Source organism: Homo sapiens, chromosome 2 (genome assembly GCF_000001405.40).
Source record: "Homo sapiens chromosome 2, GRCh38.p14 Primary Assembly".
Taxonomy (NCBI): domain Eukaryota; kingdom Metazoa; phylum Chordata; class Mammalia; order Primates; family Hominidae; genus Homo; species Homo sapiens.
The window spans coordinates 234,444,161-234,462,047 of NC_000002.12; the positions used below are offsets into that span (position 1 = coordinate 234,444,161).

Here is a 17,887-nt window from a genome sequence, read left to right on the forward strand (position 1 = left end):
TTGGGCTAACTTTAGCAGGAAAGCAACTCATGGGACATTGATTGGAGGGTGCAAAGAATCTAGGATGTTCAGAAGGACAGGGCCGGGCATCTGGACAGATGGTCCCACTGGTGCTGCTGTTAGGGAAGCTGCACTAGAATGGTAAGCTCCAACAACATGTTCTTTCCTATCAGAGACACTTTCTGTGTACAGGCACCCTGCAAAGACCTTTCCATCCTCACAAAAGCTTGTAGTGGCAGTTAGTGACAGAGAGAATCTTAGGGCTCTGAGTCTTACTGCATCAGATCTTTTTCCATTGCATCAACATGCCTCCTTTTAGAAGTGCAAGTAAGATCTGCTTCACATTGAGCTTTGAGACACAGAACACAGTAAGTCAAGATTTCACGGAATGTCCTCAAGCCCAGTCCTCTATATTAAGATGACTCAAAACTGGGGAAGAGAACCTTGGGCTTCAGGAGCTTTTCACATTGCTTGACTCCTTCATTCTTGCCACGGTCTTACGCCTTTTTGTAGGCTCAGGGCTTTCTCAAGCATCCTTAAGCATGTTAGGGCAGTGCTTCTCTAGGTGGTTTCACCTGTAATTTAAACATTTACTTGCACGTGCTTTATGTTTTTCCACCTCCTCCTGTTAACAAACATGGATATACTTTATTATAGAAAAAAACTGCTGAATTAAAGACTGATATTGAGAGTTTACATTCTGATATATTGCCTTTTTATTACATCTCATTACGATGAAAACATGCAAGCAAGCTCCCCCAGCTAACATTCCCTGTCCCTGCCCCATGCAAGTCAGCAGCCCGGGGTATGTGAATCACCCCACAGAAGGTTCATGCCACAGCACCACTGCAAACTAAACAAATTCTTTCCACGTTAGACTTAGGGTTAAAAAAAGAAGTTGTGTTCTAAAGGAGAGAGATATGATTTTGAAAGGAGCACTGGAAAGAAAATGAAAAGGAAATGAGACCTCAGTCGACCACGTGCTGAACCAGCCAGCCAGGCTTCCTTCCTCCATTGCTTCTGCTGTGGCGACCTACGAGTGGGGGCTTTCCACAGAAGGCTGCGGGTCCGGGAACGGGGGCAGGACTTACAGACCTCACCAGAGTGTGGCCAAGGACAGAAGTTCTCTATACGGAAGAGAAGGCTTGTCTAGTATGGAGTTCTAAGTTCTGTACTTAAATGTTCCCTGACAGGGGGTGGGGCTGGGGAGGGTGTAAAACAAAAAATTATTCTGATACTTTTATTTTTTATTTTTTATTTTTTCAAGACGGAGTTTTGCCCTTGTTGCCCAGGCTGGAGTGCAATGGCATGATCCTGGCTCACTGCAACCTCCACCTCCCAGGTTCAAGCAATTCTCCTGCCTCCTCAGCCTCCCAAGTAGCTGAGATTACAGGTGCGCACCACCACGCCCGGCTAATTTTTTGTATTTTTAGTAGAGATGGGGTTTCACCATGGCCAGGCTGGTCTTGAACTTCTGACCTCAGGTGATCCGCCCACCTTGGCCTTCCAGAGTGCTGGGATTACAGGCATGAGCCACCGCGCCCGGTCGATACTTTCTAAAATGGTAAGACTTTATTCAGGACAATTGCAATTGGTGTCCACAGTGTCACAACAGGGCAGAGAGATCAGGCTCAACTCCCAATACAAGAACAAGGCACCAGACATGGTGGCTGAAACCTGTAATCCCAGCACTTTGGGAGGCTGAGGCGGGCGGATCACTTGAGGTCAGGAGTTCAAGACCAGCCTGGCCAACATGGCAAAACACCGTCTCTACCAAAAATACAAAATTAGCCAGGGGTGGTGGCAGGTGCTTGTAGTAGTCCCAGCTACTAGGGAGGCTGAGGCAGAAGAATCACTTGAACCTAAGAAGTGGAAGTTGCAGTGAGCCAAGATTGGACCATTGCACTCCAGCCTAGTCACAGAGTGAGACTCCTTACCAAAAAAATTATAAAATTAAAATTAAGAAAAAAAAAGAACAAGGGGATATTTACAGCAGGTTGAGGGGTTTCACCAGATGAAGATGATTTCAGGGTCGGGCTTCTTGCTAAACTGATCCAGGTTTCAACAAGGATTCTTGTTGAAGGTAGGCCAGGGTGATCTGATATCGAGGATCAAGGGTTCTCAATAAACTGACAGCAGGATCCCTGTTGAAACTGAGCTTTGCAGGCCCAGCAAGGACAGGGACCAAGGTTGAGGGCTTGGAGGAGTCTGACTAAAGTTTGGTCAAGGAGAGAGTCTTTGTCAGGGGTTATGTGGGCTCTTCCTTCATGTTCCTTTAAAGAGCATGCCCATCTTCCGGGACTTCCTCTTTCTGTTTAAGTTACCATTTACTGTGGCTTCTCACGCTCTTTACGCAGCTGCAAAGGCAGAGCAAGACACACTGCTGGCCCAGAAGGGCTGATGATCCGGCAGCCTCAAGCTACGGGTCAGGAGTGAGGAAGTGAGGCTGGCCTTGTGGGTGTGGAGTGGCTCTGAAGCTTCCTGTCTCCACCCAGCCCTCTGCCCCTGCACTAAACCAAAGCCCTGCAGAGCAGAGTCTAGTGACGCTCCTGGGAAGGTGACGCTCCTGGCGGCACATGGCCTTGAGAGCTTCCACGTAGTTTGCCCTTGGTCTTGTCTCTGAGACGCCTTCTGGTTGCCTCGGTCTCCTCACACCCCCCAGGATCCAAGTCCAGGCCTACCTGGCTCCCGGGCACTCCCTGTGTGCCTCCCACCTCCTCCTTCCACCGAAGGCAGGCGAGGTCAGCTCTCCCTTCCCTCCTGTCTCTGGAGCCCTCGCTCCATGCCCAGGCCTGTCCCGTGGACGTGTCATGCAGCTGCTTGCTTCATGTTCTTCTAGCTTTCTCCCTGAGCCACAGGCAATGCTTTTCAAAAGCAGTGAAAAGTTTAGCGGAGTTTTTTTTGTTTTTTTTTTGTCAAGGTAATAAAATCTGCAGTGATAAAAATAGCTATTAGAAGTTTAGGAAAATTTCATCTTGGAGTAGAAGAATGAGGATGGACTAGGCTAAATAGTGTCCTAACAAATACCTGTCCACCCAGAACCTCAGAATGTGAACTTATTTGGAAATAGGCTCTTTGTGTATGCCATTCTCATAGATGAAGTCCTCCTGGATTTAGGGTGGGTCCTAAATCCAGTGACTGGTGTCCTTATAAGAAGACCACATGAAGCCGCAGGGAGGCACGGAGAGGATACCATGTGACCACGGAGACAGAGACTGGAGTGCAGCATCTAGGAACCAAAGACAGCCAAGGAATCCTGGCACTGCCAGAAGCCAGGAGAGAGCCGGAACATTCTCCCAGAGCTTTTGGAAGGAACCTAGCCTGCCCACACCTTGATTTTGGACTTCTGGCCTTCAGAACTCCAGGAGAAGAGCTTCTGTTGTTTGAAGACACCCAGTTTGCGGTCATTTGTTAAAGCAGCCCCCGGACACTAAGCCACAGTGTAGCCATATGCTTGGGCTGGGTCCCAGGGCAGCACTGACTCCTCACTTTACCTTGTGTCACAGCAAAGCCCACAGCCAGGGAGAGGGGGTCAAACTGCAGCAGCTCTCACTTCTGAGCATCATAACGAAAGCCAAAGACAGCGCCATTTACCTAAATCGGACAGCCTACAGAATCTTCCAGTCTGAAATAAGAAATGTCAAGCGTTTTAGCCATGGGAATTATAGGGTAGGGGAGATCCTTCCCCTTAACTAGTCAGTGGTTGAAATTTCTTTTGCAGCAGAAAATTTAAGTGGTAGCTTGACTGTTTAATGTTTGCAACATTAGAATGCCCTAGTCTCCACTTACTGATTTAAAGAGCAACAGAAATCCTTACAGGAAGAGCAGTAGGATGGCTGATTCCTGAAAGCGGCTTCCTGACACCCTCGCCCCAGCACCCCTGGGTCCAGTCACCATTCAGATACATCTTTTGATGGGTTGCAAGGAAAAGAACAGTGTCAGGGGACAAGGCCTGTTTACCTACAACTAACTGAAGCCCTTTGATGAGCTCTCCTCCCATCTCCAATCTGCCCCCAACCGCTGGCCGTTCCTAACCCATCTCTTTGCAAATAAAAGTTATCACCATCAGATCTGGGTGTGCCATTCTTCCAGTTGTGTGCACAAGAGGGTGGGAGTTCAGGGGGTTGGAATTCTTCTTTTCAAAAACCTGTTAAGTTTTTCTGAAACAGCAGCCTTCCCGAAGCTTCTGCTTAGTGCCTGTTCATCTATTGAGAGCTGATAATAGGATGTATTTTGCTTTTTTTTCTTTAAATGGATAAAAGGATAATGCTTTTTCTTTTCTTTCTTTTTTTTTTTTTCTTTTCTTGGCCTCCAGTGTCTATGCAAGTTATTTTTCAGTCCATTAAAATGAATCATTGTTTATCATGTTAGTTTTCACATTTCACAAAATGATGAACAATGGACTTTTCTTTGTTAAAAGATGGGGGCTTCTGTCCTCGGGCACTCGTGTTCAGAAGATAAGACTTTCTCCGAGTTCCACACACTTCTTTCTTTTCACACATGCGTTACGTTTATTTTCTGACTGAAGTCTCCAAAACAAACGCTATGGCTGCTGCTGAAATAGATCACATGTTACTACGGTACAAGTGAGACCAATCACAGTGGCTGCTTTTGTTTTTAATTGCGACCACCTCGGATGGGTCCTGAGTGCTGAGCCAAAGCTCTGTTTTCCTTTCTTTCTTTTTTTTTTTTTTTAATCTTTTCAAAATTCCTTTGAGGCAGGTAGGGGTAAACCCTCAACTCACTGTGGAAATTCATGTTGTTGAAGAGGATTAATAGAGAAGGGGTGGGAAAAGGAAAGTCTCAGGGGTGTTTTTGTGCCTCATTAAAAGGTCACAAAGCCCTCTGTGTTCTCTCCCTCCAAGGGTCTAAACCTGAGTGTCTTTTATCCGCTTCATCAAGCTCTGCACGTCCAATCGAGCTGCGAGGGAGCTCCATGGAGCTCCTGAGCACTTGAAATGGGGCTAGTGGGAATTGAGGAGTTCTGTAAGTAGAAATAGGTTTAGTACAAATAAATAAACTGATTAAAAATGTCATCAATAATATTTTAAAATTGATGATAACTTGACATGCAACATATTTGTGTACTTTCTTGTTGATTGATTACTTGACTTGCCCTTCTGGGACCCAGACTGCTAGAAAACATGTCTCCCTAAGTACCGCCAGGAATGCTAATCCCATGACATTCCACAGGAAACAAAAGGCGCTGAGGTCAAACTGAGAAAAACCGCAGCAGAGTTCCACTGGGGATTTGAAAAGACCTGAGCGTAGAAAAGGCTCCCGAGCTCTGCAATAAAGACAGGCATCTAACTTTGTTAATATGTTAATATGGCTTTTCAGAAATCCATGACCACAGGACTCCTGCCCCCTCTGACTTTTTTAATGCTGGCCTACTACCAATTAACCTCTCAAGAAACTGCCATTCAGGATTTGAATAGTAGCAATGGAAAGAGAAAAATGGGGCAAAGCTTTGGACCCACAGTCCAAAGGGAAGGACTCTTTTTAATCCAATGGGTTATAGCAAGAGCATGTTGCGGACTCATATCTGGGAACTGCAACATCATCATTTTTTTTTTTTTTTTTTGAGACAGAGTCTTGCTCTGTGGCCCAGGCTGGAGTGTAGTGGTGCGATCCCGGCTCACTGCAACCTCCGTCTCCTGGTTCAAGCGATTCTCCTGTCTCAGCCTCTCAAGTAGCTGGGATTACGGGCACCTGCCACCATGCCCAGCTAATTATTGTATTTTAGTAGAGGTGGGGTTTCACCATGTTGGCCAGGCTGGTCTTGAACTCCTGACCTCAAGCGATCCATTTGTCTCAGCCTCCCAAAGTGCTGTGATTTCAGGCATGAGCCACCATGCCTGGCCTTGCAATGGTCTTTTTAATCTTACAAACATGTGTCCATGCCTGGAGGACCCAGCTGCAGGGACAGACACTCCAACCCGGTCCAATCTCCTTACCTGCATATTCACTCCTTTTAAAGCAGCTTGAAACCAGTGAAATAAGTGCTTTAGCAATAAAGAGTGAAGAGGAGAGTAGAATTTTGTGTTGCAGATCATTTTGTTGGCTCAACATCTTTCTCCACACACAAGCCGTAGGCTGTGTAAGTGGAGATGAACATCTCATCCATCTGATAATGAATCTTCAGCCGGAAACTTCGCGAGCTGGACCGACAGGGGCTTGAAGGTTGGGTACATTTCCATCTTCAGGGCAGTGGGAGGGAGAGTGGCTGACAATGGAGCTGGGGAGGACAGGTTGAATTTGGTGAGGGCACGCAGGTGCCGGGTGCCATGACTGATTTCTGAGCCCAGGGTGCTCTGCTGCCATTTCCCATATCCCCAGAGAAGACCTGAAGGCAGAGTTCTTGTCTTTTCAGTGCCTGGCTAAGAGAGAGGTGAGTCTTGGGGGAGAAAGTTGGTGCACTGTGGGTGAAGGAATGGAAACTAACTCTGTTTGAATTCCTTTTTCATAGTCTGATGTTTGCTTGGGTTTTGAGAACAAAAACCAAAAAGATACAACCCACACCCCCCTGCCCAAAACTTGTTTTTATATGTGGTAAGTTTAATTCTTGAAAGAGAGAGAATAAAAAGTACATTTTATAGGATTTATTTTTACCTTTCTAATGCATATGTACACGTATATTTAAGAAAAAAAATTCTAGTTGACTTTTTACTTGCCCAAGATCTGAATAGGATTGAAAGATGAAAGACCACCATGATCCTCTTTGACAAACATGTACACATGTGAGCTCACTGTTCCTGCACGTCTGATTTATTATGCTAATTGGCTTTGGGCAGCCTCTCACAAACATGTCTATAGGAGGTCCCTAGTGTAATTCTCAGTCTCTTAATTACATAGACTCGTCTTTGGAGTCTGAATAAAATAGGTGAATGGATTTTCTTCCTGTAAACACTGCACTCAGGCACCTGCTGTTGGCTGCATGATGTCTTAAAGCTTCACTACGCCACCCAAGAGGCTGACTAGTTTACTTTGATGGCGCCATCATCTGCAACCCCATGTTCATGCCTTCACATTATCTAAGACTTGGGCACCTAATGGCCTTCGGATTTCTAGCTTTTCTTTCCTCAGAAAGGTTCTCCACATGGCCTTTCTTAGGGATGGCCCAGCAGCACCCAGTCTCACAGGGCTGCCTCGGCCTCCAGGTCCTAGCTTTTTGCATCTGCATGCCATTTCAGCCACCATTGTTCATGGCCAAACTGTGGAACTCATAATGGATTGAATGGCACTAGCGCCAATGTTCTGCTCATTCTTTACAGATAACACCAACCACAGAGGAAGCAGAATCTAATTAGCTCTTACATGGTGCAGTCAACAGCAAGAGGGCAGAGCTCTGGTGGTCCCTATATTGGGTTTCCCTGTTAAGGGCTTGCAGGGAAGGCCAGTTGAAATTCTTGAATCACTTCATGCTATTGTCTTGATATTTGCTGTGACCTGCTAATGGCCTGTAGAGCAGGGTCCCTGTCTTGTTCTGGTTTTCCTTGAGCATAATTGGCTTCCTTGCATGGATTTGGGTGTCCTTGGTTTCTAGAACATTTCTGGGACCTGATAAAAATCCTGGAAGAAAGGTCTTTGGCTGCCGCCTCCTCCTGGGCTCTGTTGTTCTTCAGGTAAACACAACTGGGAGGAGAGTGAAGGTGGGGATTGAGAACCAAACAGCCTGTTAAGTGATGTTGAGTTTTGTGCTATGCTTTTCAGCTTCCAGGGGACCCAAGTGTTCATTCCAAAGGGATCGCTTGAAAAATATAATCTCAGGATTTACAAATCAAACCCAAAATACAAGGATAAGCAGGCCCTGAGAAAGCTAGCTCCTCAAATCCTAACTCATAAGAAAACTATTTGCACCAGGATGAGGGTGAACTTATCTCTTATGATTCATAGTATTTGCCTGAGAACTGAACCACCCTTCAGCTGGAGCTCACTCAAAGGTTGAACTACAGATGGAAGCTTGGGGGATGATTATAAAATCACGACATATAGTGCTTAATGTTCCCAAGAGGGCATTTAATCCCCCATAATGGATCAATCGCTCTTATTCTTCTTGAAGAATTTTTCTACTCCTAGAACCAGGTCTGATCCATCACCTAGAATCAGAATGTTCTCTACCTTTGGCAAAGCTAGTTGCAAAGTCTTACTGTTACTTTTTTTTCTTTTTTTGGCTGTAGACTCAATGTCAACTGCTGCTTATTTCAATTCATGAATCAGCAAATATCTTTGTGTGTGTGTGTGAGAGAGAGAGAGAGAGAGAGTGTGTGTGTGTGTGTAGGCTTTATTGATGCACCTGTAACTGGAACTCTCTTCTTACCTCTTAGACCTCAGCTCTCTGCAGAGACCCCTTAAGTAACTGACCAAAAATAACCAGCCCTGTTACTCACTACCACACCTGTTTTTTTTTTCTTATCGTGAGCCATGATAAGCTTGTTTGCCTGCTCCTTTTCTACCTCAACCTTCATGAAGACAGAGATTTGTTTTCTTTTTTTTTTTTTTCTTTTTGAGACGGAGTCTTGCTCTGTCGCCCAGGCTGGAGTGCAGTGGCACGATCTTGGCTCACTGCAACCCCTGCCTTCTGGGTTTCAAGCAATTCTCCTGCCTCATCCTCCCGAGTAGCTGAGACTACAGTCACCCACCACCATGCCTGGCTAATTTTTTTGTATTTTTAGTAGAGGCTGGGTTTCACCATGTTGACCAGGCTGGTCTGGAACTCCTGACCTTAGGTGATACACCTGCTAGGATTACAGGCATGTGCCATTGTGTCTGGCCGAGATCTGCTTTCTTTATTTTATGTTTAATCCATGTCCAATACAGTGCCTGGCCTAACTCAAAAGCTATTTATTGAATGCACAAAATGTGCATATGGGACATTTCACAAGAAAAGTGGCTTGGTAGGAGTTGGTAAATGAAGAGGCTAGATCTATGAAAGTTCTCACCAAGCAAGGTGGTATCCTCAGAGACAGGACACTAGGGAAAGACTGGGAGGGTTTCTTCAGGAATGTGAGGAATTTTGTAGATATTTGGAATCTCTTGCCCTCATGGTGAGTAGTCAGAAAGAAACAGACCCATAGGATACAGGGAACAAGAACATAAAGAAGACAGCCAGGATTGAGAAAGTGGCCAGTGAAGCCACGAGAGCAGGTGTATTTTCACAGGGGCAGAGAGTAAAAAATAACAACCAAGAGCGTGGGTGAATGCCAAGGCAGCCTCAAGAGAAACAGGCAAGAACCAAGCCCTGGGAAAGTAGCACGTCAGGACTTGGCTGCAGGGACAGGGGTAAGCCCGTCAGAGCCCCTGCATGGCTTTCAGATTACACAGACTTTAACCGCCCAGTTTACCCTCACCCCAAACCTTTATAAATCACCTAAGAGCTAGAAGGAGCCTATAAGGTATTTTGTCCAACACTCTTATTTTACAATTGAAAAACAATGAGTTAAAACTGGGCCTGGTTATTGACAGAGGTGGGTCTACCATCTAACTGTGCCTTCTTGTCCAGCATTTCCTCCACTTCCCATGTATCCAGAACCTAGAATTAAAACAACTGGCCGGGCACAGTGGCTCATGCCTGTAATCCCAGCACTTTGGGAGGCCAAGATGGGAAGATCATGAGGTCAAAAGATCAAGACTGTCTTGGCCAACACAGTGAAACTCTGTCTCTACTAAAAATACAAAAAATTAGCCAGGCATGGTGGCACGTGTCTGTAGTCCCAGCTACTCGGGAGGCTGAGGCAGGAGAATTGCTGAAACCTGGGAGGTGGAGGTTGTGGCGACCCAAGATCGTACCACTGCACTCCAGCCTGGGCAACAGAGCAATACTCCATTTCAGAACAAAAACAAAAAGAAAAACAAACCATGTTCTAAGTATTTCAAACATTTGTCTATTGTCTGTAGGATTTACTCCCTCCAGTTTCCTAGCAGAGAGAGAAAAGAGTAAAATTAGAATGATATGCATTTATTTCAATATTGAAACCACATTTTGAAGAGTTCACTGAACTAAATGAAGAACCTAAGCTGGTCTATTAACTATAAGCAGACTTCGCACATGAAAAACGGGACATTTTCTGGATGATTGACACTAAATTCAACTTGGACAGTGAGCTAGCATCCAGGAGAGCCAGTTACTTTGGTTTTAACAAACCCCAGAGAATGGATTTCCAGTCCTGTCTACTCAGTAGAATCAACTAAAGTTAGTTTTCCCCAGCTACAAATATCTACAAGTGTTAGCTAAAATATGAAGTTTATTTAAAAATACATAGTTGAATTAACAAAGACAGAGATTCTCAAATGCTAGAAACAAAGAGAAAATTAAAAGCCATACCAATATAGTGTGTGTCAAAGGTGTAGTCATCAGGGCTGAGAGCAGGGAGTTATCTGACCCAGAAATAAGAGTTTTAAGTTAGCATCCACATGAAGACAGGAGAGGAAGTTTGGGGTAGGGTTGGAACGGAGAGCTTTATATAAAGCTGATATCTTTGAAACTCACCACCTTCAATGAAGAGGAAACAAAACCAACCCATCGACGTGCTGCTACCCAGGTCTCAGAAAAGAAAAAAAAAAAAAAGTCTGAATTTAAATTACTTGCGTGGGGCAGGAAACTCTAAGTTAAGCTTGTAACATATGAATTGGCCCTGGGTTGATAATACCCCTGTAGCAATTCAAGATATTGAGGTAACAAAATTATCTTAAAAGATTAAAAAATAAGTATGTTTGAAGTTATGAAAGCGATTTCAAAGAAGAAATAGAAAATGTAAGGAAGAACAACACGTAATGAAAACAGGACAGATTGACAAAAGGAACAACTAGAAGCACGAGGGATAGTTTGAATTGAGGATGGACTGAATAGATTTAGCTACGCTCTCTACTTTTTGTCATTAGTTATCATTAGTTTATTAAAAAAGACAGATCTGGAAATTATTTACATGATGAAAGATTTCAGAACTTCAGTGGAATGGGCAGCTTCAAGTTGATGTCATTTCAATAGTAACTTATTTCAGTCTACATACTTCCCAAGAATGCACCATCTCTTTTTTATGTATTTATTATTTTGAGAAAGAGTCTCACTCTGTCGCCCAGGCTGGAGTGCAATGGCATGATCTTGGCTCACTGTAACCTCCGTCTCCTGGGTTCAAGCCATTCTCCTGTCTCAGCCTCCCGGGTAGTGGGGTTATAGGCACACACCACCACGCCCGGCTAATTTTTGTATTTTTAGTAAAGATGGGGTTTCACCATGTTGGCCAGGCTGGGCTCAAACTCTTGACTTCAGGTGATCCGCCCACCTTGGCCTCCCAAAGTGCTGGGATGACAGGCGTGAGCCACAGTGCCCAGTCAGAATGTCACCGTCTCTAAATAAGAAATAATCCTTGTCATCTAGAACTACTCTGGTGCCTCCATATTCTAGGAGAAGAAATTTATCTCCAACTCTCATGCTAACTGGTTGAATCTCTCCACCCTTTCCTTTAGAACCTGATCCAACAGCTACTCCTTTTGCTTGCAATACTTTTCCTTGAGATTTTTCTGGAAGCATAATGCCTCCTTTGGTTACAGTTGTGGTGGCAATCCTTTCAACAAATACTCTGTCAAAGAGTAGAAGAAACTTTCTAAATGCTTGTCCTGCCATGACTTCCTCAACCGCAGACTCATACTCCGCTCTCGTGCAGCACCACAAGGAGAGATCCCTCTATTCTTAATTTATAATGACATCCTCCTTTGGTTTTTTGGTTCCATAAAAGCTCTTATTAAAAAAAAACAAAACAAAAAGAAAAAAACAGTGAAATGTTGAACTTTTTTTTAAAAAAATTTTACTTTAGGTTCTAGGATACCTGTGCAGAATGTGCAGGTTTGTTACATAGGTATACATGTGCCATTGTGGTTTGCTGTGCCTATCAACCTGTCATCTAGGTTTTAAGCCCCACATGCATTAGGTATTTGTCCTAATGCTCTCCCACCCTTTGCCCCCCACCCCCCGACAGGCCCCGGGGTGTGATGTTCCCCTCTCTGTGTTCATGTGTTCTCATTGTTCAACTCCCACTTATGAGAGTGTCGAACATTTTACGAGGTTGAATAATGTTCCTTCAAAATTTATGTCCACCTGGGACCTCGAAATTGGCCTTTGCACACAGGGTCTTTGCAGATGTAATCAAGCAAAGATGAGGTCATACTGGATTGGGGTGGATCCCCATCTAAATGACTGGTGTCCTTCTAAGGAGGCCATGTGAAGACACACATAGAAACGCAGAAACACAGAAATATGGAACAGAAAGCCATGTGATGACAGAGGCAGAGAGGGGAGCAATACAGCTGCAAGCCAAGAAATGCCAAGGACTGCTGGTATAGGGGTCAAGGGAACTCTCCTTCCACTCTCTGAAGGTGTGATGATTTGAGTCTCTGAAATAAACATTACAGTAGACAGATTAACAGGAGAAAAGGCACACAAATTTATTACATGCATAAAGCAAAGGGGTTCCACAAAATATGAGACTCAAAGAAGGGCCAGGTGGTTGAAGCTTAGGTAGCATTTTAAGCTACAGAAAGAAATGGGGGCTTGGGGCTTCTGGCAGGGGGCAGTTGGCAACAGGTTATGGAAGGTGAGGAGAGGAAATATTTAATATATTGTAAATGAAAGGTTGTCTTGTTAGGCAGGTTGTCTCTCAGGTGGCAGCCCTGAAAAAAAAAGGGGACACTCTCTTTCAATCTCTGGACTCTGTCTGGGTTGCTAATATGATCTTTCCTAGACCTGTCTTTAGGCTGATAAGAAGGCCTCAGAGAAAGCTTCGGCTTGCATCTGCCATTTGGTTTACTGATGTAGATAGATGTAAATTTCTTTTACAAAAGGACAGCTTTTTAGAGCTATTTCTGTGTCTGCAGCTTCTCTGAATAGCTATCTCGATATATGCCAAAAAAGTATATTTTGGGGTAGCATATTTTGGTCTCCCACACTGGCAACCACCAAAAGCTCGGATTCTTCCTTAGAGATTCAGAGGCAGCATGATCCTGCAGACACCTTGAGTTTAGACGTTCAGCCTTCAAAAATGAGAGAAGTAACTGTCTGTTGCTATAAGCAAATCAGTTTGTGGTACTCTGTTATGGCAGTTCCAGAAAACTAATACAAACATATATTCAATAAAAATTCAGAAGGAGGAAACAGAGGTTTCAAGCAAGGCAATATTTGAAGAACATATAACTGAGAATTTTCCAGATTAGACAAAAGACAAGAATCATCAAATTTCAAGTCATCAAATTCAGCAAATAAAAATATAGAATTTCCAGTCACATTTGAATTTTAGATAAGCACAAAATAATTTTTAACACAAGTATGTTCTATGCAATATTTGAGTCATAATTACCTAATTCAAATTTAACTCAGCTGCCTATAATTTGTCTGGCAACCCTACTCAAATTGGACAATCAGAGAGTCCTGAACAGGACACATGAAAATAAACAAATGCCTAAATGAATCACCATGAAACTGCTGAGCAATAATAACAAAGAGAAAAACCTTTAAAACCGCCTTTAAACCCTTTAAAAACTACCACAGAAGCCAAAACAATGGATAACAGCAGATTTATCTTTAATGATAATAGAAACCAAAGAGAAATGGAATTAGAAACTCGAAGGGCCAAGGAAGAGCTGTCAAATGCATTCAGATACATTATCATTCAAGAGTAAGGACAAACTAAAATGTTTTATTACATGGCTGGACACAGTGGCTCATGCCTGTAATCCCAGCACTTTGGGAGGCCAAGGCAGGGGGATCGCTTGAGGTCAAGAGTTCAAGACTAGCCTGGCCACCATGGTGAAACCCCATCTCTACCTAAAATACAAAAATTAGTCGGGCGTGGTGGTGCACACCAGTAGTCCCAGCTACTTGGGAGGCTGAGGCAGGAGAATCGCTTGAACTTGGGAGGCAGAGGTTGCAGTGAGCCGAGATCGCGCCACTGCACTCTAGCCTGGGTGACAGAGAGAGACTCTGTCTCAAAAAAAAAAAAATATTATGACAAAGGCAGAATATTTTCCATTCACAGACCTTGATTGGAAGGATTATTGATTCATATACTAGGAAGTAATGCAAGGAGAGAAATTGCTGAGCATGTGGTCAAGTTTAAATATCGTTGCAGGTGGTCTTATAGCAGGCTCCCCAGTGCGGTCAGCCCCTTGATATTCATGCCTGTGTACAATCTCTCCTTGAGTGTGGACTTGCTTCTAACATATATAATGCAGCAGAAGTAATGGGAGGTCACTTCTAAGGTTAGGTTATAAAAAGGCTATGGCTTCCATCTTGGCTGCTTGCTCTCTTTCTTCTCCCTCTCCCCTCTCTCTCCTTCCCCCCGCCGGTCCCCAACACTCAAATCACTCATGCTGGGGAAAGTTAGCTGCCATGTTGTGATCAGCCCTGTGGTGAGGCCTACATGACATGAGCAGGAGCTGTGCCCTCAGTCCAACTGCTCACGAGGAACTGGATTTTGCCAAACCACATGAACGAGCTTGGAATCAGGTTCCTCAGCTCCACTTGAGCCTTGAGATGGCTGCAACCCTGGCCAACAGCTTGACCACAGTCTCATGTGAGGCTCTAAGCCAGAAACACCCAGATAAGCAGCTCCCAAGTTTCTGATCCACAGAAACTGACATAATAAATGACATGACAAATAAACTGACTTGTTTGTTGTTATAAGCTGCTAAGTTTTGGGGTAATCATTATGCAGCAATAACTAACTGATACAAATACTCGTAAACAATAACAATAGCAATGACTAACACTGGATCATATAACATGAGAGATACTGCAAGTGACTAGAGTCAGTGTGTTCTAAATTCCTTGTATTATTGATGAAGGTAGAGATATCAATTTATTTTAAAATTTGTTAAGTCAAGAGGTATATATAAGCTTTAAGAATAACCAGTGAAGGAATAAAAATATTACTTCCAAACCAGTGGAGAGGAGGAAAAAAGAGATAAGGAAAACCAGCAATTCAAGATAAGGCAAAAAAGGGAGAAAAATAGAAGCACAGAAAAAGTGTAGTGAAAAGGGCAAATAAGCTGTTAAAAATTAAAAGACATATCTCATATTCCATACATTCTAGAGCTTGTCAATTTCTCCTTTACACCACTCAGAGAAACTTCTAAAATACAATCTGCTCATAAATTGTATTCTTTTGAGGAAAGAGCATGCTGATAACAATCAGAACTGACCACGTAATGAAACTTGCTATGGCCAATTTGAAGCTTGGAGTAGAGGAGAATGAATTGTGGATAAAGTCAAGAATTGGCTGCAATACTCTCTAGCTTTGTGAACCTGGACAAGCATCTTAGTTTCTCATTTGTAAAACAGAGGGTAATTCTTGCCTTAACCTCTTTGCTGGATATTTGTGACACTCATAAAAGAACAAATATGGAAAAGTAGACTATAGTTTGGATATAATTTGTTTGGCCCCACCAAGTGTCATGCTGAAATCTGATCCCTGAAGGCACCTCACGGGAGGAAGGTGGGGCCTAACGGGTGGTGCTCGGGTCTTAAGGCGGGTCCCTCACAATGGCTTGGTGCCCTCTTGTAGGTAATGAGGGAGGCCCTGCTCTATCAGTTCTCACAAGAGTTCTCCCAAGAGCTGGTTGTTAAAAACAGCCTGGCACCTTCCCTTCCTCTCTCTTGCTTTCACTCTCCCTGTGTGACCTCTGCACACCAACTCCCCTTCGGCTTCTGCCGTGGTAGGAAGCAGCCTGAAGCCCTCAACAGAAGCCCTCAACAGAAGAAGATGCTGGTACCACATTTCCTGTAGAGCCTGCAGAACCATGAGCCAGATAAACCTCCATTCTTTATAATTACCCAGCCTCAGGTATTCCTCTATAGCAATACAAAAATAGACTAAAACAAGGCACATAGTAAAGTTCCATACAGGCCAGGTGTGGTGGCTCACTCCTGCAATCCCAGCAACTTGGGAGGCTGAGGCAGGAGGATTGCTTGAACCCAGGAGTTCAAGATCAGCCTAGGCAACATAGTCAGACCCCATTTTTACTAAAAATTTAAAAATTAGCTGGGCATGGTGGTGCACACCTCTGGTCCCAGCTACTTGGGAGGCTGTGGTGGGAGGATTGCTTGAGCCCAGGAGTTACAGGCTGCAGTGAGCAACAGTTGTGCCACTGCAGTCCACTCCAGCCTGGGCAGCAGAGTGCGACCCTGTCTAAAAAAAGAATTAAATAAAATAAATAAAAAAATAAAAAGGAGAAGAAGAAGAAAACAAGAAAAGTTTCATTAACATATTTATCTATAATACAATCTAGTGTTTATTGCTAGGAGCTGAAGAGTAATCTATATTTTTCAGTTTCAGTTTTACTGGCAGTGAAATACCATCCTGGCTATATCAGGCTACCTTAGACCCAGTTTTAAATCGTATGTCATTTTCATCTCTTTGTATCTCAGATTCCCAGGAATTTGCAGTACAAGACTGTGGTTTACTAATTCTTGGATCATTCATTCATCATTTAATAATCTATCTGCAGAGCATGCTAAATCCATGGGAAAGAGAGGAGGAGGTAAGTGTGAGAAGGGTTCAATTCCCTGCACGTGCACACCACTTCTACCAGACCCCTCCTGTCACTGAGGAGGGCCAGGGTGGGGACTGTGGGGATCTTCTCCCTCACACATCTTAGAGTTCCTCCTCCCAAGTCTACGTGTTCCAGGCTGTATAAAAGATCATCAAAGACGCTGGAAACTTGATTTGCTTGTTTATCCACAAGTGCCAGCCTCAGTACACCCTACATTTTCTTAGGCTCTCTTCTTCCCATTAATTGGCTAAATTCCCCTGAGAGTTTATAAGATGGACTTGTTTGGCAGCTTGTGTCCGCACACAGCCCGAAGCAGCCGGTACCTCCGCCTCAACATCCCAGGTCCCATCATAAATAAGTCAAACCTGCCTTCTGAATTGCGTTGGTGAGCATAGTTGGCCAGTGCCTGCCTGTGCGGTGGAGCCCTTTCTGCGACTGAACGGGCCTCCTAGAAGGAGCTGAAGCGGGCAGGGGAACCTCAAGGAATCCAGACGTTCAGTTAGGGTTGGTGTTCCCAAAGTTCACGTCCTATCATCTTGATTCAAAAATTTTTAATGGGCAAAATTGGCTGGAACTACCACCAAAACTCATATATAAGAAACGAATGGTCCAGAAACTCTTCAGTTATAAAATACGAAGAAAAAAATACTTAGAAATTTCGACTTCAAAAAAGTTCATTCTTATAAGGGGGCTAAGTTCCTCTGAAGATTATAAATGAGGTCATATATGCAAAATGCATCAAACAATGCCTGACTCATTGTTAACACACAAATATAAGCTTTTGGTATTATCAACTTGCTGCTTGCAAATTTTTCTGGACTCACCATATAAAACACATACCCGAGTTTTGTTTTTCTTTGTTTCTAATCAAATTTGCAACTTGTTTATAAACACCAAATTCCTATTCGATTTTTAAGGAAATTCTATATCTCTTAGACAATGTAAGACTTAAGCTTTTTGTTTATTTAAAATAAATAAATTTAAACCAGCTTATTATGGGGTATAAACTTAGTCTTGATTTTAAACTTGTAATAGCAGAAATAGGAGAAATACAGGACTCACAAATTCATATATGAGTGTATGTGTAGGAGTTAATAACCAAAGGTTGAGTTTCTTTACAGTAGGATTTCTCTAGAACTTAAAAATCTAATTTCCCTGTTGTAGAGTTAACCCTTAAAATCAACCTGATGGAGAGCAGAAACATAACCACCACGATGGATGAACCAGTAAGAAGTGGCTATAACTTCTAAAGGGCTGAGCACAGCCCAGGACTGCGTCTGGGAGAGCACCAGTTGAATTGTTCACCCCCGAAACAACACAGGAGGACATTCATTGGTCAGGCTCA

General features: G+C 43.6%; 1 long non-coding RNA gene and 1 pseudogene across 1 annotated transcript, besides 1 other annotated feature; both read right to left on the reverse strand.

The window, feature by feature from the left end:
• Positions 1 to 429: 429 nt before the first annotated feature.
• LINC01891 (long intergenic non-protein coding RNA 1891) lies at positions 430 to 10,435 on the reverse strand. The gene is made up of 3 exons (NR_146988.1): positions 10,325 to 10,435; positions 5,958 to 6,238; positions 430 to 575 (listed from the first exon to the last, which is right to left on the reverse strand). It is a non-coding gene; the product is annotated as a long intergenic non-protein coding RNA 1891 (long non-coding RNA).
• Positions 2,217 to 2,266: an enhancer, noted in NCBI's record as "active region_17354". NCBI's record gives its function as "activates an Ori minimal core promoter by ATAC-STARR-seq in GM12878 lymphoblastoid cells {active_cell/tissue: GM12878}" and the evidence as "EXISTENCE:reporter gene assay evidence [ECO:0000049][PMID:35858748]".
• HSPE1P9 (heat shock protein family E (Hsp10) member 1 pseudogene 9) lies at positions 10,873 to 11,676 on the reverse strand (annotated as a pseudogene).